The sequence below is a fragment of the Homo sapiens genome, chromosome Y, assembly GCF_000001405.40.
Source record: "Homo sapiens chromosome Y, GRCh38.p14 Primary Assembly".
In the NCBI taxonomy this organism is placed as follows: Eukaryota; Metazoa; Chordata; class Mammalia; order Primates; family Hominidae; genus Homo; species Homo sapiens.
Genome location: NC_000024.10, coordinates 1448236 through 1472123, shown reverse-complemented (window position 1 = coordinate 1472123; position 23888 = coordinate 1448236). Strand labels below are relative to the sequence as shown.

Here is a 23888-nt window from a genome sequence, read left to right as displayed (position 1 = left end):
ACTTCCTTCTACGTAATCAAAGTAGGTAATTGAAGCCAGCGTCTGTTTTGTCTTCCAAATCCACAGCTCCAACAGAGTGCCATTTGCTGTCTTTGGGGTTGAGGGCCTCCTGAGGCAGCCCTATCAAAAGAACCACAAACTGGGTGGTGCAAACACCCCCAGAAAACAGAAAGGAGAGCAGACGACAAGCACGGGGCTGGCTTGTGGTTCCTTAGGGCTGGGGCCTCTCACTCCCCTGTGTGTTCAACAGCTGGGACAGCCCCCAGCACTCAGGAAAGAGGGGTGGTTATAGCCAGAAGACAATAGCTGGCAAAAAAGGGTCTGTCACCGGCATGCAATCCCTGCTGCCCACGAGGAGATGCCTTTTGTCTATTTCTCATCCCAACCCTGTAAGGTCCACCCGGAACAAGACTGTAGTGATCACTGCACTCAGCATCTGAACCCTTTAGAAAGGGGTTCCCAGGGCTGGGAATGAGGGAAGAGCAGCTTTATGCACAATAGCCAAGAATCAGGAACACGCCAGGCGCGGTGGCTCACACCTGTCATCCCAGCACTTTGGGAGGCCGAGGCGGGCAGATCATGGGAGGTCAGGAGTTTGAGACCAGCCTGGCCAACATGATGAAAGCTTGTCGCTACTAAAATTATTAAAAAAAAAAAATGGGCTGGGTGTGATGGCTCGTGCCTGTAATCCCAGCACTTTGGGAGGCCGAGGAGGGTGGATCATACATCAGAGGTCAGGAGTTTGAGACCAGCCTGGCCAACATGATGAAACCCCGTCGTTACTAAAATTACAAAAAAAAAAAAAAAAAAAAAATGGGCTGGGCGCGGTGGCTCACGTCTGTAGTCCCAGCACTTTGGGAGACTGAGGAGGGTGGATCACCTGAGGTCAGCAGTTCACAACCAGCCTGGCCAACATGGTGAAACCCTGTCTCTACTAAAAATACAAAAATTAGCTGGGTGCGGTGATGCATGCCTGTAGTCCCAGCTACTCCAGAGGCTGAGGCAGGAAAATTGCTTGAACCGGGGAAGCGGAGGTTGCCGAGAGCCGAGATCACACCATTGCACTCCAGCCTGGGCAAAAAGAGCGAAACTCCCTCTCAAAAAAAAAATTACAAAAAAATTAGCCAGGCGTGGTGGCAGGTTCCTGTAGCCCCAGCTACTTGGGAGGCTGAGGCAGGAGAATTGCTTGAACCCAGGAGGCGGAGGTTGCACTGAGCCAAGATCGCACCACTACACTCCAGCCTGGGCAACAGAGCAAGACTCCATCTCAAAAAAAAAAAAAAAAATCAGAAAGAACAAAAATGTCCATCCACAGGAGAATGAATAAACAGAATGTGGTCTATCCACACAGTAGACTATTATGCACCCACTGAAAGGACTCAAGCTCTGACCCAGGCTGCAGCGTGGATGAACTTTGAAGACCCCTGGCTCAGTGACAGAAGCTAGACACAAAAGACCACATATTGTAGAATTTTATTCTTATAAAATATCTAGAATAGGCAGATCCACAGAGACAGGAAGCAGATTTGAGGTTCACAGGGGCTGGGGACAGGAACGAACAGGATTAGCAGTTGTGGGGTTCTGAAGGGTTTTTGTTTTGTTTTGAGATGGAGTTTTGCTTTTGTTGCCCAGGCTGGAGTGCAATGGTGTGATCTCGGCTCACTGCAACCTCTGCCCCCTACCCAGGTTCAAGCGATTCTCCTGCCTTAGCCTCTGGAGTAGCTGGGATTACAGGCATGTGCCACAACACCCGGTTAATTTTTTTTGTATTTTTAGTAGAGACAGGGTTTCACCATGTTGGGAAGGCTGGTCTTGAACTCCTGACCTCAGGTGATCCACCTGCCTCGGCCTCCCAAAGTGATGGGATTACAGACGTGAGTCACCGCGCCTGGCCCATTTGTTTTTGTTTGTTTGTTTGTTTAATTTTAGTAACAACAGGATTTCACCATGTTGGCCAGGCTGGTCTCGAACTCCTGACCTCAGGTGATCCACCTGCCTCGGCCTCCCAAAGTGCTGGAATTACAGGTGTGAGCCATGATGCCCGGCCAGGTCCTGAGTTTTGTTTAGGGATAAAAATGGTTCTGGAATTGCATTATGGTGTTGTTTGCACATCTGTGAATATATTAAAAACCATTGAACTGTATGAATGAGTGAAAGCTTATGGTACGTAACTCACGTCTTGGTAAAGCTGTTTTTTTGTTTGTTGGTTTTGTTTTGTTTTGAGACAGAGTCTCGCTCTGTTGCCCAGGCTGGATGGAGTACAGTGGTGCGATCTCGGCTCACTGCAAGCTCCGCCTCCCGGGTTCAGGCCATTCTCCTGCCTCAGCCTCCCGAGTAGCTGGGACTCGCCACCATGCCACCACGCCCGGCTAATTTTTTTGTTTTTTTGTTTTTTTAGTAGAGATGGGGTTTCACCGTGTTAGCCAGGATGGTCTTGATCTCCTGACCTCGTGATCTGCCCACCTCGGCCTTCCAAAGTGCTGGGATTACAGGTGTGAGCCACCGTGCCCGGCTGGCAAAGCTGTTTTAAGAAGAAATAAGTGAGAGGGCTGGAGGAGATACACACAGACCCTCAAGAGGAGAGAAACATTGCTGGATGCATTGCTGCCAGACAGGTGTGCATTTACCTGCAAAGCATAAGAAAAAGGGTCCAACCTGGCCAGGTGCAGTGGCTCACGACTGTCATCCCAGCACTTTAGGAGGCCGGGGCTGGTGGCTCACCTGAGGTCAGGAATTCAAGACCAGCCTGGTTAACATGGTGAAACTCTTTTTGGGGCTACAAAAAGTAAAAAATCAGCCAGGCGTGGTGGTGCATGCATGTAATCCCAGCTACTCAGGAGGCTGAGGCAGGAGAATCGCTTGAAGCAGGGAGACAGAGGTTGCAGTGAGCCGAGATCACGCCATTGCATTCCAGCCTGGATGACAGACTGCGAAAAGAAAAGAGGGGAGAGGGGAGAGGAAAGGAGAGGAGAGAGGGAAGGAGAGGAGAGAGGGAAGGAGAGGAGAGAGGGAAGGAGAGGAGAGAGGGAAGGAGAGGAGAGAGGGAAGGGGAGAGGGAAGGAGAGGGGAGAGGGAAGGAGAAGGAAGGGGAGGGGAGAGGGGAGAGGGAAGGGGAGGGGAGAGGGGAGAGGGAAGGAGAGGGGAGAGGGGAGAGGGGAGAGGGGAGAGGGGAGAGGGGAGAGGAGAGAGGGAAGGGGAGGGGAGAGGGGAGAGGGAAGGAGAGGGAAGGGGAGGGGAGAGGGGAGAGGGAAGGGGAGGGGAGAGGGGAGAGGGAAGGGGAGGGGTGAGGGGAGAGGGAAGGGGAGGGGTGAGGGGAGAGGGAAGGGGAGGGGAGAGGGGAGAGGGAGAGGGGAGAGGGGAGAGGGGAGAGGGGAGAGAGGAGAGAGGAGAGAGGAGAGGAGGGTCCCACCTACAGCCCCTGAGCGCCCACCTGTGGTCTGTCCGTTGCTTCAGACAATTCAGTGCCCAGAAATTTCTGGACAGCCACCTCTGCAGGCCAGACACCGCCAAGAACAACCGTTGTGCTGATTTTCTAAAATTTCCATCCTGCCCGCTGAGCCCCGGCGGGGCCCAAACCGCAAGCCTGTGCCTCCTGTGTCAGGGCAGCTGGCATCAGTTAGAGGTAATTTCTTGATTAGTCATGCGCGTTCCTCAGCAGTCCTGGCTGTCTGTCTTCCCCGGGGGCTGTCCGGTGGCCACAGGGCACAGACTCGAAATGGCAACAGATCTGGCTGCCAAGAGGCTGCTTGCTGGATCCCCAGACCACACAGGTACAGACACGAGGGTGGCCGGGTGAGGCCGCCACCGTAGGACTTTCAACAGCACGTGGTGTTTAAATGTGTGCGAGGCACTGCTGCCTACGTGGAGAGTTAAAGCAACAAATTCCAGCCCAGGTGTGTTGCTCACACCTGTAATCCCAATGCTTTGGGAGGCCGAGGCAGGAGGATTGCTTGAGGCCAGGAGTTTGAGACCAGCCTGGGCAACATAGCCAAACCCCATGTCTACAGAAAATAAAAATATTAGCTGGGCAGGGTGGCATGCACCTGCAGTCCCAGGTACTCAGGAGGATTGCTTGAGGCCAGGAGTTTGAGACCAGCCTGGGAAATGTAGCAAAACTGTGTATCTATAAAAAATAAAAATGTTAGCTGGGCACGGAGGTACTGTCACCTGTAGTCCCAGCTACTCAGGAGGCTGAGGCAGGAGGATTGCTTGAGGCCAGGAGTTTGAGACCAGCCTGGGAAACATAGCAAAACTCTGTATCTACAAAAAATAAAAATATTAGCTGGGCGTGGTTGTACTCTCACCTGTAGTCCCAACTACTCAGGAGGCTGAGGCAGGAGGATTGCTTGAGGCCAGGCGTTGGAGGCTGCAGTGAGTTACGTTTGCACTACTGCCCTCCAGCCTGGGCAACAAGGCAAGACCCCATATCTATAAAACAAACAAACAAAAGAACAATTCCAGGGCACCCCTGTTTCCAGCTCTGTCCACTTTACATTCTCAAAATAAAAGTAGTGTCCCTTTGACAGACACTTTTTCATCACCAGCTCATGGATAAAGCGTCTCTCCTTCCAGACGTCCCCCACGGCCACACCAAGCGGAACCCAAAGAAGGAAGGGTCTGCTTTTCCTCCTGAAGCCATAGGTGGCTGGAGGTGCCCAGCTGGCCGTGGGGAGCGGTGCTGACTCGTGCATAACTGTAGGTTTCACACCTGGGCACGGACCGGCGGGTCAGAAAACTTCTCCCTGAAACTGAAACGAAAACTCCGGGCCATTTTAAAGCCAGCTTGAGGAAGCTGTTTGTAGAGCAGTTGGTAAGAAGTCGCAGGTCTCCTCTGGAGGAAGAAAGAGCAGGGAGGAGCCGTGGGTTGACGCGGGTGTTAAAAGCTGGAAAGACTTTGGAGGCTGCGGGTTGGTCTCCTGGCACTCGGAGTGTGTGTTTTCTGCTGATAGACACTTTGTGGGTGGATGCCCCTGAGATGAGAGGACTCATACCCAGACTAATACTGCCAGGGTGTCAAGAATTCCCATTAAGACCACCCTGGGGGCTGACGGTGGCTTTGTGGTTTCCGTCCACGGGGGACACTGAGTCTTGAGGTTTGTATGACAATGCATTCAACCTGCCCAGGGGAGCCACAGCCCCACTGTGGATCATCTAAGAGTCTCAGCCTCTGACGTGGGCCGAGGTCTCCAATGACCTCCCTGATCCAAGGAAGGACGGGAGGGAGGGAGGGCGGGAAGGAAGGAAGGAAGGAAGGAAGGAGGGAAGAAGAGAAGGAAGGAGAGAGGAGGAAGGAAGAAGAAAGGGGAGAAGACAGGAAAGAAGAAAAGAATGACACAGGGTGAAGAAAGGAGGCAGAGAGGGAGGGAAGGAAGGAGGAGAGGGAAGGAGGAACTAAGGGAGGGAGGGAGGGAGGAGACAGCAGGCCCTGCTAAAGCATCTCCCCCGCCTTGGTCCCCGGGGAGCGGCGCTCAGGAGCCCTCCCGGCAGCCGCCTCTTTACCTGCGCCCCTGACCCGTACACCCTTCCCTCCTTCCCTTGCAGAGCCCGGGCGAGGACCCCTCCAGGATGCAGGTCCCGAACAGCACCGGCCCGGACAACGCGACGCTGCAGATGCTGCGGAACCCGGCGATCGCGGTGGCCCTGCCCGTGGTGTACTCGCTGGTGGCGGCGGTCAGCATCCCGGGCAACCTCTTCTCTCTGTGGGTGCTGTGCCGGCGCATGGGGCCCAGATCCCCGTCGGTCATCTTCATGATCAACCTGAGCGTCACGGACCTGATGCTGGCCAGCGTGTTGCCTTTCCAAATCTACTACCATTGCAACCGCCACCACTGGGTATTCGGGGTGCTGCTTTGCAACGTGGTGACCGTGGCCTTTTACGCAAACATGTATTCCAGCATCCTCACCATGACCTGTATCAGCGTGGAGCGCTTCCTGGGGGTCCTGTACCCGCTCAGCTCCAAGCGCTGGCGCCGCCGTCGTTACGCGGTGGCCGCGTGTGCAGGGACCTGGCTGCTGCTCCTGACCGCCCTGTCCCCGCTGGCGCGCACCGATCTCACCTACCCGGTGCACGCCCTGGGCATCATCACCTGCTTCGACGTCCTCAAGTGGACGATGCTCCCCAGCGTGGCCATGTGGGCCGTGTTCCTCTTCACCATCTTCATCCTGCTGTTCCTCATCCCGTTCGTGATCACCGTGGCTTGTTACACGGCCACCATCCTCAAGCTGTTGCGCACGGAGGAGGCGCACGGCCGGGAGCAGCGGAGGCGCGCGGTGGGCCTGGCCGCGGTGGTCTTGCTGGCCTTTGTCACCTGCTTCGCCCCCAACAACTTCGTGCTCCTGGCGCACATCGTGAGCCGCCTGTTCTACGGCAAGAGCTACTACCACGTGTACAAGCTCACGCTGTGTCTCAGCTGCCTCAACAACTGTCTGGACCCGTTTGTTTATTACTTTGCGTCCCGGGAATTCCAGCTGCGCCTGCGGGAATATTTGGGCTGCCGCCGGGTGCCCAGAGACACCCTGGACACGCGCCGCGAGAGCCTCTTCTCCGCCAGGACCACGTCCGTGCGCTCCGAGGCCGGTGCGCACCCTGAAGGGATGGAGGGAGCCACCAGGCCCGGCCTCCAGAGGCAGGAGAGTGTGTTCTGAGTCCCGGGGGCGCAGCTTGGAGAGCCGGGGGCGCAGCTTGGAGATCCAGGGGCGCATGGAGAGGCCACGGTGCCAGAGGTTCAGGGAGAACAGCTGCGTTGCTCCCAGGCACTGCAGAGGCCCGGTGGGGAAGGGTCTCCAGGCTTTATTCCTCCCAGGCACTGCAGAGGCACCGGTGAGGAAGGGTCTCCAGGCTTCACTCAGGGTAGAGAAACAAGCAAAGCCCAGCAGCGCACAGGGTGCTTGTTATCCTGCAGAGGGTGCCTCTGCCTCTCTGTGTCAGGGGACAGCTTGTGTCACCACGCCCGGCTAATTTTTGTATTTTTTTTAGTAGAGCTGGGCTGTCACCCCCGAGCTCCTTAGACACTCCTCACACCTGTCCATACCCGAGGGTGGATATTCAACCAGCCCCACCGCCTACCCGACTCGGTTTCTGGATATCCTCCGTGGGCGAACTGCGAGCCCCATTCCCAGCTCTTCTCCCTGCTGACATCGTCCCTTAGTTGTGGTTCTGGCCTTCTCCATTCTCCTCCAGGGGTTCTGGTCTCCGTAGCCCGGTGCACGCCGAAATTTCTGTTTATTTCACTCAGGGGCACTGTGGTTGCTGTGGTTGGAATTCTTCTTTCAGAGGAGCGCCTGGGGCTCCTGCAAGTCAGCTACTCTCCGTGCCCACTTCCCCCCACACACACACCCCACCCTGTTGCTGACCAAGGTGATTTTTGGCACATTTGTTCTGGCCTGGCTTGGTGGGACCCCACCCCTATTCTGCTTCTGTGAGTCCCTGATAGAGAAGGAGGTCCCATCAGGCCCCTGGAACACACTCAGGCTTCCCTGACTCAGGACAAGGACCACGGGAGGCCCAGGTGCGGAAAGGAGGCTCCGTGAGATGGGGTCCAGCCCATCCCAACACAAGGGTGCAGCTTGATTCGGGAGTTCCCCACCTCCTGCCCATTCTCCGCGTCCTTTTACCCCATGGAGAGCCTCAGCCATGGCAAGTCCATCTGGAGTCCAGGAAGCAGGCAACTGGCCTGACCCATGAGACCGTTTGGAGACCAAGCAGCAGATGCAGGTGTGGACCCCAGGAACCTACAGGGGTGTCAGCCGCTGAGCCCCCTCCCTGCTGTGTGGGTGGTGAGCAGGCTGGGTCTTTGTCTGTCTTCTTCTACACGGCATGTGCCTGCACCAGCCCCAACACCTGAGCTGGTTTAGCGCAAAGAAGAGCTCTGACTCTCCAGGGGTGCTGGGACATCACGTGGAATTGGATCCCAGGCTCTCTTGGGCGAGAAAGACCATTCTGGAGGTGGGAGTGGGAGAGCTGCCTGTCTGCCCACGGGCTCTGCGTCTCCGCAGTGGGTGGCCTTGGATGCCCGGCCCCTCCCTTTCTGTGCACTGGGGACGCTGATGGAGGCTGAAGCTGCTGTTCGGAGGCCCTCTATTGGTGCCTCTCTCCTGCCGTCATCACTATGGCAGGAAAACAGAGATGGTTTAGTAATGAATTATCATTCCCAAACCCGTGTCCACCTGGAACATCAGGATGGGACCATGTTTGAAAATCGGGTCTTTCCAAATGTAATTAAGTAAGGCGAGGCCATACTGCATTTACAATGGGCCCAATCCAGTGTCCCTATGAGAGACGGAAGAGGAGACACAGACACAAAGCAGGAGGCCACATAAAGACAGAGGCAGAGACTGAAGTGATGCTGCCCCAAGCCCAGGGATGCCTGGAGTCCCCAGGAGCTGGGAGAGGCAGGAAGGACCCTCCCCTAGAGTCTCTGGAGGGAACTGGATACAATTGCAGAGTGCACTAAACAGTTGCCCCAGAAAGACATGTCTTGTTTTAAAGCCCAGAACCTGAAATTATTATAGATTTTATTCGGTAATAAGGAACTTTGCATGTGTAATTACTTAAGGATATGAAGATGAGATTGTGCTGGATTATTAAGCACCCTAAATGCCATGACAGGTGTCCTTCCAAGAGACAGAAGAGGAGACACAGACACAGAGCAGGAGGACACGTGGAGACAGAGGCAGACTGGAGTGATGCGGCCACAAGCCCAGGGACACCTGGAGCCCCCAGGAGCTGGGAGAGGCAGGAAGGATCCTCCCCTAGAGCCTCCAGGGGGAACTGGAGGATGCGTAAGAGACCCAGAACTTCCACAGAAGGAGGAAAATTAACCTCCTGCTTCTCTAGACTGTTCCAAAGCTGAACCCTAGAAAGCAAAGCTGATACAGAAGCATCCAGGCTGCAGGAGTACAGGTCGCAAGTGCTGAGCGTGGGCCTTGGGTGTGTCTCATGGGGGAAAAAAAACTGTGAAAAACCTCAGAGTAGCATCTTCACAGTAACGCACGGACGATCCCTAAACTGCCTTGTAAACAAAAATGAGAGCTTGAGTCAGAGGAAGCCGAGACAATATCCTTCCTCGACAACGTGCGAGAACCCTGACGTCCCCCAGCAAAGGAAGACGTTGCAAGCAGGCAAAATGCGTCGATTTTTTTTTTTTGTCAGTATGATGATTTTTGCAGCCACTTGGCTATGGAGAGCAGCCGACACCCCCTCTTACAGCCGTGGATGTTTCCTGGAAGCTGACTCAGTCTGTTCACTGGTTGAGCTTTGAGTGAAAAGATAACACAGGTCTATTGACTCACACACATGTTTTAAGATGGAAAACTTTACTTCTGTTCTTGGCAGGACATGGAGAGAGGGAGGGATTCCAAAAAGTCTCAGCCTCCATCAAGGCGTGGCAGCTCATGCCGGTAATCTCAGCACTTTGGGAGGCTCAGGCGGGAGGACTGATTGAGTCCGGGTGTTCAAGGGCCAACCTAGGCAACACAGTGAGAACTCATCTCTGTAAAAAATAAAAATAAAACATTAAAAAAAAACATGAGCTTTGAAGTGCACAGGGCAAATGTGTTTCTGTCTCTGATTTCTGCAGGGCTTGCATTTTAAACACAGATCCCATTTTATGCTGGATCCAATGTCTTATCCTCTTCATAGGCTCCTTGTCTTGGTCCATTTATCCTGCTGGAAACAAACAAAAAACCAAACAAACAAAACACCATTGCATTACTCAGAGATCTCTAGAGGGACAGAACTAATAGGATAGATAGATAGATAGATAGACAGACAGATAGACAGACAGACAGACAGACAGATAGAAGATAGATTAGATAGATAGTAGATAGATTAGATAGATAGATAGATAGTAGATAGATTAGATAGTAGATAGATAGATGGATAGTAGATAGATTAGATAGATAGATAGTAGATAGATTAGATAGATAGTAGATAGATTAGATAGATAGGTAGATAGATAGTAGATAGATTAGATAGATAGATAGTAGATAGATTAGATAGGTAGATAGAGAGTGGATAGATTAGATAGTAGATAGATAGTAGATAGATTAGATAGATAGTAGATAGATTAGATAGATAGATAGTAGATAGATTAGATAGATAGGTAGATAGTAGATAGATTAGATAGATAGTAGATAGATTAGATAGATAGATTGACAGTAGATAGATTACATAGATAGATAGTAGATAGATCAGATAGATAGATCAGATAGATAGATTAGATAGATAGATAGATGATAGATCAGATAGTAGATATATTAGATAGATAGAGAGAGAGAGAGAGAGAGAGATTGAGAGAGAGAGAGAGGAGTTTCAGGCCAGGCACAGTGGCTCACACCTGTAATCCCAGCACTTTGGGAGGCCGAGGCAGGTGGATCACCTGAGGTCAGGAGTTCGAGACCAGCCTGACCAACATGGTGAAACCCCATCTCTACTGAAAATACAAAAATTAGCCGGGTGTGGTGGTGCATGCCTGTAATCCCAGCTACTCGGGAGGCTGAGGCAGGAGAATCGATTGAACCCGGGAGGTGGAGCTTGCAGTGAGCCGAGATCGCACCACTGCCCTCCAGCCTGGGTGACAGAGTGCAACTCAAAAATAAATAAATAAAAATAAATAAAGGGAAGTTTATTAAGTAAACTTCCTGGGTGACAGAGTGAATCTCAAAAATAAATAAATAAAAATAAATAAATAAATAAAGGGAAGTTGATTCAGTATTAACTCACATGATCATGAGGTCCCACAATAGGCCGTCTGCAGGCTGAGGAGCAAGGAGAACCCATCCCAGTCCCAAAACTGAAGAACTTGGAGTCAGATGTTCAAGGGCAGGAAGCATCCAGCATGGGAGAAAGATGGAGGCTGGGAAGCTAGGCCCGTCTCTCCTTTTCACATTTTTCTCCCTGCTTATATTCTAGCCTCGTTGGCAGCTGATTAGATGATGCCCACCCAGATTAAGGGGGGGGGGGTCTGCCTTTCCCAGTCCACTGACTCAAATGTTCATCTCCTTTGGCAACACCCTCACAGACACACCCAGGATCAATACTTTGTATCCTTCAATCCAATCACGTTGACTCTTGGTATTAACCATCGCAACCATCAACTGGGTGGCTCACAAACAATAGACATTGCTTGCCACAGTTCTAGAGGCTGGGGCCGGGTGTGGTGGCTCAAGCCTGTAATCTCAGCACTTTGGGAGGCTGAGGCAGGTGGATCACGAGGTCGGGAGTTCAAGACCAGCCTGGCCAACATGGTGAAACCTCGTCTCTACTAAAACCACAAAAATTAGCCGGGCATGGTGGCGGGCACCTGTAATCTCAGCTACTAGGGAGGCTGAGGCAGGAGGATTGCTTGAACCCAGGAGGCAGAGGTTGCAGTGAGCTGAGATCATGCCACTGCACTCCAGTCTGGGTGACAGAGCGAGACTCTGCCTCAAAAAAAAAAAAGACAAATGGATACATGATAGATGGATAGATAGGTACATACACAGGTAGATAGATGATAGATTGATAAATGGGTGATAAGAGATAGATAGATAGATAGATAGATAGATAGATAGATAGATGAATGATAGATGATAGATGGATAGATGAATATATAGATGATGGATAGATGGATAGATAGATGGATAACAGATTGATGATGGAAAGATAGACAGATGGATAGATAGATGGATAGAAGATAGATAGATAATAGATTGATGATGGAAAGATAGAAAGTTGGGTAGATGGATAGAAGATGATAGATAGATAGATGATAGACAGATGATAGATGGATAGTTATACAGATGATAGATAGATGGATACATAGATAAACAGAATGGATGGATAGATAGATAACAGATGATAGCTAGATAGATGATCGGTAGATAATGGATACACAGATGGATAATACATACATAGACAACATAAGGAGGGGATAAATGATAGATGAGATAGATAGGTAGATAAATAGATAGATGATAGGTAGGTAGAATAGATAGATGATAAATGGGTAGATTGATAGATGATATATCTAATGATAGATGATAGATACATAGATGATAGATTGATAGATGATAGACAGATGAATGATAGATAAATGATAATACTAAATACATAGATGGATAGATTGATAGATGATAGACATACAAATGATAGATACATAGATACATAGATGGATAGATAGATATATAGATAGATGATAGACACATACATACATACATACAGATGGATAGATACATACATAGATGATAGACACATACATACATACATACATAGATGATAGATACATACATAGATGGATACATAGGTGATAGATACATACATACATAGATGGATACATAGACGATAGATAGACAGATACATACATAGATAGATGGATAGATAGATGATAGACACATACATAGATAGATGGATAGATAGATGATAGATACATAGATACATAGATAGATGGATAGATAGATGATAGATACATGCATAGGTGGATAGATAGATGATAGATACATACATACATAGATAGATGGATAGATAGATGATAGACAGATACATACATATATACACAGATGGATAGATAGATGACAGATAGATACTTACATAGACAAATAGATGATAGACAGACACATACATACATAGATGGCTAGATAGACAGATGATAGATACATACATAGATAGATGATAGACAGATACATCCATACATAGATAGATGGATAGATACATAGGTAGGTGATAGATAGGCAGATATATACATACATACATAGATGGATACATAGATAGATGATAGATACATAGATAGATAGATAGATAGATAGATAGATAGATAGATGATAGATACCTACATACATAGATAGATGGATAGCTACATAGATAGATGATAGATACATACATAGATAGATAGATGGATGATAGGTAGATGATAGATTGATAGATGATAAATTAATATATAGATGATGGATAAATGGATAGATGGATAACAGATTGATGATGGAAAGATAGATGGATAGAAGATAGATAGATAATAGATTGATGATGGAAAGATAGAAAGATGGGTAGATGGATAGAAGATAGATAGATAGATGATAGTTAGATAGATAGATAATAGATGGATAGTTATACAGATGATAGATGGATACATAGATAAACAGAATGGATGGATAGATAGATAATAGATGATAGCTAGATAGATGATAGGTAGATAACGGATACACAGATGGATAATAAATACATAGACAACATAAGGAGGGGATAAATGATAGATGAGATAGGTAGGTAGATACAATAGATAGATGATAGGTAGGTAGAATAGATAGAAAGATAGATGATAGATGGGTAGATTGATAGATGATATATCTAATGATAGATGATAGATACATAGATGATAGATTGATAAATGATAGATAGACAGATGAATGATAGATAAATGATAATACATAGATACATAGATGGATAGATTGATAGATGATAGACAAATGATAGATGCATAGATGGATAGATTGATAGATGATAGACAAATGATAGATACATAGATGGATAGATAGATAGATAGATAGATAGATAGATAGATAGATAGATGATAGACAGATACATACAAACATACAGATGGATAGATACATGGATAGATGATAGACAGATACATACACACATAGATGGATAGATAGATAGATGATAGATAGACATACATACATACATAGATGGATACATAGATAGATGATAGATACATACATACATAGATGGATAGATAGATACATACATACATAGATAGATGGATAGATAGATGATAGATGCATACATAGATAGGTGGATAGATAGATGATAGATACATACATAGATGGATAGATAGATGATAGGTAGACAGATACATACATAGACGGATAGATAGATGATAGACAGACACATACATAGATAGATAGATGGATAGATAGATTGATAGATGATAGACAGATACATACATAGATGGATAGATTGATAGATGATAGACAGATACATACATAGATAGATAGATGGATAGACAGATGATAGACAGATACATACATACATACATAGAGGGATAGATACATAGATGATAGATTGACAGATACATACATACATAGACAGATGGATAGATACATAGATTGATAGATGATAGACAGACACATACATACATACATAGAGGGATAGATACATAGATGATAGTTTGACAGATACATACATACATAGACAGATGGATAGATACATAGATTGATAGATGATAGACACATACATACATACATAGAGGGATAGATACATAGATGATAGATTGACAGATACATACATACATAGACAGATGGATAGATACATAGATTGATAGATGATAGATACATACATACATAGATGGATAGATAGATGATAGATACATACATACATACATACATAGATGGATAGATAGATACATACATACATACATAGATGGATAGAGAGATACATAGATATTATGGCTAAATAGATGGAAGAGTGATAGATACATAGACAAGATAGATGGATACATGACAGATGAATAGCTGGATAAATGATGGATAACATGGATACATAGATAGATGATAGACAAACCCTCTCATGCTGACTCAGGGTTCCCCCACCTCAGCACAGCTGACATTTGGGGCTGGAGGACTCTCTGTGGTGGGGCCATCCTGGGCACTGTACGGTGCTGAGCAGAGACCCTGGGCTCCACCCACCAGATGGGAGCAGCACCCCTGCACTGCACGCACACCTCCAGACGTGATGGCCAAAAATATCTTCAGACATTGCCAGGTGTCTCCTGGACGGTAGGATCTCCTCAGTTGCTGGCAACTGAATTACACAAAACCCACACACATGCACACATTTGAGAATCTTTGAACCTCCAACCATGCAATGCTGGCTCAATGCAAAACAGAACATTAAGGATGGAAGCCCAGCCTGGTGGGACGGGGTGTATGAGTTTGCTGGGGTTGCCATAGCAAAGTCCTGTACGCTGTACAGCTTAGACAACAGACATCGATTCTTCCACAGTCCTGGAGGCTGGAGGTCTGAGGTCAAGGTGTGGGCAAGGCTGGCTCCTCCTGAGGCCTCTCTCCTGGGCTTGGAGACGCTGTCTTCTCCCTGTGTCCTCACAGGGTCGTCCCTCCATGTGTGTCTGTGTCTTCAGCTCCTCTTCTCCTCTTCTTATCAGATGTCTTAGTCCATTGCAGGCTGCTATCACAGAATACCATAGACTGGGTTGCTTATTAACGACAGGCATTGGTCGGGCACGGTGGCTCACACCTGTAATCCCAGTACTTTGGGAGGCCGAGGTGGGTAGATCATGAGGTCAGGAGATCGAGACCATCCTGGCTAACATGGTGAAACCCTGTCTCTACTAAAAAATAGAAAAATAAATTAGCCGGGCGCGGTGGCGGGTGCCTGTAGTCCCAGCTACTTGGGAGGCTGAGGCAGGAGAATGGCATGAACCCAGGAGGCAGAGCTTGCAGTGAGCCCAGATCGCGCCACTGCACTACAGCCTGGGTGACACAGCGAGACTCCATCTCAAAAACAAACAAACAAAACAAAACAAAACAAACAAACAAACAAAAAACAGGCATTGGCTGGGCACAGTGGCTCATGCCTGTAATTCCAGCATTTTGGGAGGCTGAAGTGGGCGGATCACCTGAGGTCGGGAGTTCAAGACCAGCCTGGCAAACATGGAGAAACCCCATCTCTACTAAAAAATACAAAAAATTAGCCAGGTGTGGTGGCGGTCCCAGATACTCGGGAGGCTGAGGCAGGAAAGCCACTTGAACCTGAGAGGTGGAGGTTGCAGTGAGCCAAGATCGTGCCACTGTACTCCAGTCTGGGCGACAGAGCAAGAGTCAGTCTAAAAAAAAAAAAAAAAAGCAAAGAAAAATCTGAAAGTCACGGAAGGGCACATTGAGAGCAGGAGGAGGCTGCAGTAGTCAGGGCTCCAGAGCAGTTAAACCTCTGCCTGCTGGGGTTTCAATGATGTGGCCGTAATGGAGAACTTATAGGGATAAATACAGGCATGTTAAAGGCTGCTGGACCCCATCTCTGGTTAGCACTCCTTCTGGAATGCTGGTATGGGGGACTGAGTTGATTCGTGCCTCCCCATAGATATGTCCACCTGGTGAATGGCACCTTATTTGGAAATAGGGTCCTCACATGTGCAATTAGTTCATGATTTCAAGATATCATGCTGGATTAAGGTGGACCCTAAGTCCAATGACAGGTGTCCTTGTAAGAGACAGAAGAGGAGACACAGACACAGAGGAGAAGGCCACGTGGAGATGGAGGCAGAGACTGCAGTGATGCGGCCACAAGCCCAGGGATGCCTGGAGCCCCCAGGAGCTGGAAGAGGCAGGAAGCACCCTCCCCTAGAGCCTCCAGAAGGAAGCAAACACAATTGCAATGGTTTAGATGGTGAGCTCCAAACCATATGTCCATGTCCTAAGCCCCAGAGCCTGGGAATGGGACCTCATTTGGAAAAAGGATCTTTGCAGATATGATTAACAATCTGGAGATGAGATCATCCTGGAGAAGGACGGGCCCTAAACACAATGACAGGTGTCCTTGTAAGAGACAGAAGAGGAGACACAGACACAGAGAAACCCACGTAGAGACGGAGGCAGAGACTAGAGTGATGCGGCCACAAGCCCAGGGATGCCTGGAGCCCCCAGGAGCGGGAGAGGCAGGAAGGACCCTCCCCTAGAGCCTTCGGAGGGAGCGTGGCCCTGCCTATTCCTTGATTTCAGATGTCTGGGCTCCAGAGCTGTAATACAATTAAGTTTTGCTGTTTTAAGCCCCAGGGTTTTGAGTGACAGTTACCAGCAACCCCCACTGTAGGTCACTAAACCCTCCAGCTTTGCCTGTACCCGTGTAGGAAGAGGCAGCCTTCACTTCATCTTCTATAGAGAATTACTGTAATTTCCTTTGCTATTTTTCTTTATGTTTAATATCTCACCCGCAGCTGGGCCCGGTGGCTCACACCTGTAATCCCAGCACTTTGGGAGGCTGAGTCGGGTGGATCACCTGAGGTCAGGACTTCGAGACCAGCCTGGCCAACACAGCGAAACCCCATCTCTATTAAAAGTACAAAAATTAGCTCGATGTGATGGCAGGTGCCTGTAATCCTAGCTACTCAGGAGGCTGAGGCAGGAGAATCGCTTGAACCTGGGAGGCGGAGGTTGCAGTGAGCCGAGATTGCACCATTGCACTCCAGCCTGGGCGACACAGTGAGACTCGGTCTCAAAAAACAAAGAAAGAAACAAACAGAAAAGAAAGAAACAAACAAACAAAAACCTTCACCTGCATGGAGTTTATGTTATATGCAGTACAGTTTATAAACTTATGATTCCTTCTATCGCTTCAAAACGAAGAAAGTTACTTCTCCAAAATTCTGAAATGTGAATCTATGTGCTTTTTAAAATTTTTTTTCAAAAACTCACAATATTGAAAATCAGACATCACATGGTTTAGATGCTTTTTTCCTCTCTTTTATTTGGCTCTTCTGTGACTTCTCTGACTACAGTTTTTCGTTTTCTCCGTAATGTGTTGGACACCCTCGGATGTCATTCCACAGTTAACAAAATTAACTGTAGGATTCCATTTTCTGCATCTACACATCACTGGCATAGGCTCTGGGTATATTATTATTTTTGACATTTTATTTTAAAATCTTTTGAGTCACAAAGGCTGGGGAAACAGTGCCCGGAGTCTCCACGCCACGCTGGGTTTATGTGGAGCAGGTGCGGCTGGGCTCTGGGGTTTAAGAAAAATCCTCGCACAGCTCACGCGCGCCCCCTGCAGCCTGCGGCGCGCAAGGGACCCGCTGCCCTGGAGGTGGGCTCCGTTTAGGGAGGGAAGGCACAGCCGGGCGTCCCCCACCTCACAGCGCCCGCCCTGGTCCCATCCCTGCGCCCCCAGCACCGCGCCCCCAGGGGGTCCCCACGCCGCGCCCATCACCACGCCCGCGCGGATCCCCAGTGTCCACGCCCCTCCCACAAGGACCCCCACCTTCTCCACGCCCCTCCCACCAGGCACGCGGGGACCCCCCCCCCACCCATCTCCCCGCCCTTCCCACCCGGCCCGCGGGGACCCCCATATCCATACCCCTCCGAGCATTCTCGCGGGGACCCTCATCTCCAAACCCCTCCCACCATCCCCGCGGGGATCCCCATCTCCACGCCCCTCCCACCAGGCCCGTGGACACCCCCATCTCCACGCCCCTCCCACCAGGCCCGTGGACACCCCCATCTCCACGCCCCTCCCACCAGGCCCGTGGACACCCCCATCTCCACGCCCCTCCCACCAGGCCCGTGGACACCCCCATCTCCACGCCCCTCCCACCAGGCCCGTGGACACCCCCATCTCCACGCCCCTCCCACCAGGCCCGTGGACACCCCCATCTCCACTCCCCTCCCACCAGGCACGAGGACATCCCCATCCCCACGCCACTCGCACCGGGTCCGCGGGGAACCCCCTATCTCTACCTTCCCCGACGCGGCTCCCACAAGACCCCCATCTCTGCGCCGGGCCCCTCCACGTGCGGGTAAGAACCCCCCACCCCCACAACTGCCCACAACCGCAGCTGCGGAAACCCAGCATTTCCACTCCCCACGCCGCGCCTGCAAGGAACCCCAAGTATCCACGCCAGCCTTTCCTCCCCGGGACCCCGCAGCTGCCTGCGCCATTGCAGGTCTTGGCGCCGCAGGCGGGGTGGGGAGGGGCGGGGCGAGCGCCGGGGGCGGGGACGGGGCCCGGGAGGCGGAGCTGGGGGCGGTGCTTCACCAAGCGGCCGGGGCGGTGCCCGGGGGGGAGGCGGGCGGGGGTGTGGCCTGGGCGTGGCCTCACGGGGAGCTCAATGGCGGCGTGGCATGGGCGTGGCCTGGCGGAGAGGGCAAGGAGGTGTGGCCTGGGCGTGGCCTGGCGGAGCGGTCAATGGCGGCGTGACATGGGCGTGGCCTGGCGGAGAGGGCAATGGAGGTGTGGCCTGGGCGTGGCCTGACGGAGAGGGCAATGGAGGCGTGGTCTGGGCGTGGTCTCAGGGGAGATCAATGGGGCGTGACATGGGCGTGGCCTGGTGGAGAGGGCAATGGAGGTGTGGCCTGGGCGAGGCCTGACGGAGTGTTCAATGGAGGCGTGGCCTGGGCGCGGTCTCGCGGGGAGGCCACTGAAGGCGCGGACTGGGCGTGGCCTCGCGGAGGCGGGCGGGGGCGTGGCCTCGCGGAGGCGGGACTCTGGCCGCCTGTTTTTTTTGCAGCCGCGCTGCGCGCACCGCGGGCTCCGGGCTCAGAAGTGCGGACGCCCGGCTCCCGGCGTGGACGCCATGGTGCTGTGCCCGGTGATTGGGAAGCTGCTGCACAAGCGCGTGGTGCTGGCCAGCGCCTCCCCACGCCGTCAGGAGATCCTCAGCAACGCGGTACGGCCTGGGCCTGGGCGGGGCAGGGGACCGGGGACGGAGGGGCTGAACCCCGGAGGGCCCAGCGACTCAGGAACTCTAGGGATAGGGATGGGAGAGTGACCCGAGACCCTTAGGGATGGGGGAGGGGAGAGTGTCCCGGGACCTCCAGGGATAGGGTTGGGGAGAGTGACCCGGAACCTCTAGGGATGGGGGAGGGGAGAGTAACCCGGAACCCCCTAGGCATGGGGGTGGGGAGTGACCTGGGTCCCCATAGGGATGGGGGAGGGGATCGTAACCCGGGACCCCTAGGAATGGGGAGGGTAGAGTGACCCAGGACCGCTAGGGATGGGGACAGCAGAGTGACCCCGGAGCCCCATGGATGGGGATGAGGAGAGTAACCCGGGACCCCCAGGCATGGGGATGGGGAGAGTAACCCGGGACCTCCAGGGTTGGGGATGGGGAGAGTAAGCCGAGACCCCCCCTAGGGATGGGGGTGGGGGAGTAACCCGGGACCCCTAGGGATGGGGGAGAGGAGAGTAACCCGGGACCCCCAGGCATGGGGATGGGGAGAGTAAGCCGAGACCCCCAGGAATGGGGTTGGGGAGAATAACCCGGGACCCCTAGGGATGGGGTTGGGGAGAGTGACCCAGGACCCCCTAGGGATGGGGGAGGGGAGAGTAACCCGGGACCCCCCTAGGGGTGGGGGAGGGGAGAGAAACCCGGGACACCTTAGGGATGGGGTTGGAGAGAGTAACCTGTAACCTGGGACCCCCTAGCGATGGGGGTGGGGAGAGTAACCCAGGACGCCCTAGGCATGTGGTTGGGGAGAGTGACCCGGGACCCCCTAGGGATGGGGAGGGAGGAGTGACCCAGGACCGCTAGGGATGGGGACAGCAGAGTGACCCCGGAGCCCCATGGATGGGGATGGGGAGAGTAACCCGGGACCCCCAGGCATGGGGATGGGGAGAGTAACCCGGGACCTCCAGGGTTGGGGATAGGGAGAGTAAGCCGAGACCCCCCTAGGGATGGGGGTGGGGAGAGTAACCCGGGACCCCTAGGGATGGGGGAGAGGAGAGTAACCCGGGACCCCTAGGAATGGGGAGGTCAAGTGACCCGGGACCCCCCTAGGGATGGGGGTGGGGAGAGTGACCCGAAACCCCTAGGCATGGGGTTGCAGGGAGTGACCCAGAACCCCCTAGGAATGGGGATGGGAGAGTAACCTGGGACCCCCTAGGGATGGGGGAGGGGAGAGTAAGCCGGGATCCCCCTAGGGATGGGGGTAGGGAGAGTAACCCGGGACCCAAAAGGATGAGGGAGGGGAGAGTGACCTGGAACCCCTAGGCATGGGGTTGGGGAGAGTGACCCAGGACCCCCTAGGGATGGGGGAGGGAAGGGTGACCCGGGACCCCCAAGGAATGGGGAGGGGAGAGTGACCCAGGACCACCTAGGGATGGGGAAGGGGAGAGTAACCCAGGACCCCCTAGGGATGGGGGTGGGGAGAGTAACCCAGGACGCCCTAGGCATGGGGTTGGGGAGAGTGACCTGGGACCCCCTTAGGGATGGGGAGGGAGGAGTGTCCCAGGACCCCCTAGGGATGGGGAGGGAGGAGTGTCCCAGGACCCCCTAGGAATGGGGAGGGGAGAGTGATCCAGGACCGCCTAGGGATGGGGGAGGGGAGAGTGATCCGGAATCCCTAGGTATGGGGGAGGGGAGAGTGACCCAGGACCCCCTAGGAATGGAGAAAGCAGAGTGACCCGGGACCCCTAGGGATGGGGGAGGGGAGAATAACCCAGGACCCCTAGGGATGGGGGAGGGGAGAGTGAGCCAGGACCCCCTAGGAATGGGGAGGGCAGAGTGACCCGGGACCCATAGGGATGGGGGAGGGCAGAGTGACCCGGGACCCCTAGGGATGGGGGAGGGGAGAGTGATCCAGTACCGCCTAGGGATGTGGGTGGGGAAAGTAACCTGGGACCCCTAGGGTTGGGGGAGGGGAGAGTAACCCGGGAACCCTAGGGATGGGGGAGGGGAGAGTAACCCAGAACCCCTAGGGATGGGGTTGGGGAGTGTGACCCGGAACCCCCTAGGGATGGGGGAGGGGAGAGTGACCCAGAACCCCTAGGGATGGGGGAGGGGAGAGTGACCCAGAACCCCTAGGGATGGGGGAGGGGAGAGTGACCCAGAGCCCCTAGGGATGGGGGAGGGGAGAGTGACCCAGGATGCCCTAGTGATGGGGGAGGGGAGTGTGATCCAGGACCTCCTAGGGATAAGGGAGGGGAGAGTAATCCAAGACCCCTAGGAATGGGGGAGGGGAGAGTAACCCGGGACCCCCTAGGGGTGGGGGAGGGGAGTGACCTGGGACCCCTAGGGATTGGGGAGGTGAGTGACTCAGGACTTCTAGGGATGGAGTGGGCCCTGTGACTGATGGTTGGACTTTGTAGCTGGGGTATGGGAAGTGTTTCCTGGTGCCCCCATGAGGATCTTATTCCGGGTGGTAGGACGCCTAGGTAGTGGGTGTCTGCCTCTCTCTGGAGCCCTAATCACATGGAGGAGACGGTCTAGTGATGAAGGGATAGTTACTTGTGATGGGGGGTAGTTACTGGTGACAGGCGGATAGTTATAGGTGATGTGGGATAGTTACTGGTAATGGGGTGATAGTTACTGGTGATGGGATAGTTACTGGTGATGGGGGCATAGTTACTGGTGATGGAAGGATAGTTACTGGTGATGGGGGATAGTTACTGGTGATGGGAGATAGTTACTGGTGATGGGGCGTAGTTACCGGTGATGAGGGATAGTTACTGGTGATGATGGGGCATATTTACTGGTGGTGGGGGTTAGTTACTGGTGATGGTGGGATAGTTACTGGGTTTGATGATGGGGCATAGTTATTGGTGATGGGGGTAGTTACTGGTGATGTGGGGATAGTTACTGGTGATGGGAGGATAGTTACTGTTGATGGGAGATAGTTACTGGTGATGGGGGGATAGTTACTGGTGATGATGGGGCATAGTTACTGGTGATGGGGGATAGTTACTGGTGATGGTGGATAGTTACTGGTGATGGGGGGTAGTTACTGGGTTTGATGATGGGGCATAGTTACTGGTGATGGGGGGTAGTTACTGGTGATGTGAGGTAGTTACTGGTGATGGCAGAGAAGTTACTGGTGATGGTAGGGTAGTTACTGGTTGCCTATGGATGGTGCAGTGGGGCAGGAGTCTACTCTTGGGGACTACGGACTGGAGGTCTGGTACCCTGGGAGGGGGGACACCACATGCCTGGTCCTAGTGACGGGGATGAGAGTGGTCAGGGTGCCTCACAGAAGGCATGGGTCTCCATGATTGGGGGTGACAGGGCATAGGGCAGGGGTCTATATGATCTGGGGTTGAGATCTGCAGGGCAGGTCCAGGGCTTGGTGACTGGTGCCCTGAAGACCAGGATGGGCGTCAGGGCCAGGATCTGGGGGCACCTTCAAGAGGTGAGGAGCGCTGAGGAGTGTAGAAGAGTGGAAGAAAGACGAAAAAAGAAAAGCAGCTTCACAGTCAAAGACGGGTTTATTTTGGAGAACAAGCCTGAGCGGGGCTTCTGGCTGAGTTAGGTCAGGAGTGTTCTCTCTTACAGACTAAGGGTATTTAAGGGTTTAGGAAGGGGAATCTTATCGCAGGCTCGGAATGTTTCCCTGTGAGGCAAAGTTGACTGAGGTGTTAGAATGTCTCTGGTCTGAAGGAGGTTATCTTGGGCTTGGGATGTTTCTGGTCAGAGGCGGTTTATTTCAGGCTTTGACTGTTTCTGGTCATGCTGACATTAGCCATTAGGCTGATGTTTTGGGGCTGGTTTTAGGCAGTTTTTAATCACGGGAACTTAAAATGGCAATGCTTGTCCAAGATGGCGGTGTGTGTCCAAGATGGTGGTGTGTGTCAAAGATGACCATGCATGTCCAAGATGGCAGTGCTTGTCCAAGATGGTGGTGCTTATCCAAGATGGCGGTGTGTGTCCAAGATGGTGGTGCTTATCCAAGATGGTGGTGTGTGTCCCAGATGGTGTGTGTCCAAGATGGTGGTGCTTCTCCAAGATGGCAGTGTGTGTCCAAGATGGTGTGTCTCCAAGATGGTGGTGCTTATCCAAGATGGCGGTGTGTGTCCAAGATGGTGGTGCTTATCCAAGATGGCCGTGTGTGTCCAAGATGGTGTGTGTCCAAGATGGTGGTGCTTATCCAAGATGGCAGTGTGTGTCCAAGATGGCGGCATGTGTCCAAGATGGTGGTGCTTATCCAAGATGGCAGTGTGTGTCCAAGATGTTGTGTGTCCAAGATGGTGGTGCTTTTCCAAGATGGTGGTGTGTATCCAAGATGGTGGCGTGTCCAAGATGGCGGTGTGTCCAAGATGGTGGTGCTTGTCCAAGATGGTGTTATGGGTCCAAGATGGCAGTGTGTGTCCCAGATGGTGTGTGTCCAAGATGGTGGTGCTTATCCAAGATGGCGGTGTGTGTCCAAGATGTTGTGTGTCCAAGATGGTGGTGCTTATCCAAGATGGC

The 23888-nt window shown here is 52.0% G+C and overlaps 2 protein-coding genes across 12 annotated transcripts in view, besides 1 other annotated feature; both read left to right on the top strand.

Annotated features, from left to right (window-relative positions):
- The window catches only part of P2RY8 (P2Y receptor family member 8), a 74605-nt gene extending 65062 nt beyond the window's left edge, over positions 1-9543 (top strand). For 6 of the 9 annotated variants that reach the window (NM_178129.5, NM_001424187.1, NM_001424190.1 and 3 more), the window contains one exon: positions 5542-9543. In NM_178129.5, the coding sequence (NP_835230.1) occupies positions 5566-6645 (1080 nt within the window). In that variant the 5' untranslated portion in view covers positions 5542-5565 and the 3' untranslated portion in view covers positions 6646-9543. Of the gene's footprint in view, positions 1-3453; positions 3623-4401; positions 5094-5541 lie in introns of those variants that run through there. The other 3 variants (NM_001424186.1, NM_001424188.1, XM_005274778.4) reach the window with 2 other exon arrangements.
- Positions 5128-5628: an enhancer, noted in NCBI's record as "H3K4me1 hESC enhancer chrX:1585389-1585889 (GRCh37/hg19 assembly coordinates)". NCBI's record gives its function as "activates a minimal SCP1, AML or CMV promoter by ChIP-STARR-seq in naive H9 embryonic stem cells {active_cell/tissue: H9 hESC(naive)}" and the evidence as "EXISTENCE:reporter gene assay evidence [ECO:0000049][PMID:30033119]".
- Positions 18368-23888, top strand: part of ASMTL (acetylserotonin O-methyltransferase like) — a 50618-nt gene continuing 45097 nt past the window's right edge. For 2 of the 3 annotated variants that reach the window (NM_001173474.2, NM_004192.4), the window contains exon 1: positions 19215-19376. In NM_001173474.2, coding sequence (NP_001166945.1) covers positions 19284-19376 — 93 coding nt within the window. In that variant the 5' untranslated portion in view covers positions 19215-19283. Of the gene's footprint in view, positions 18507-19214; positions 19377-23888 lie in introns of those variants that run through there. The other variant, NM_001173473.2, reaches the window with a different exon arrangement.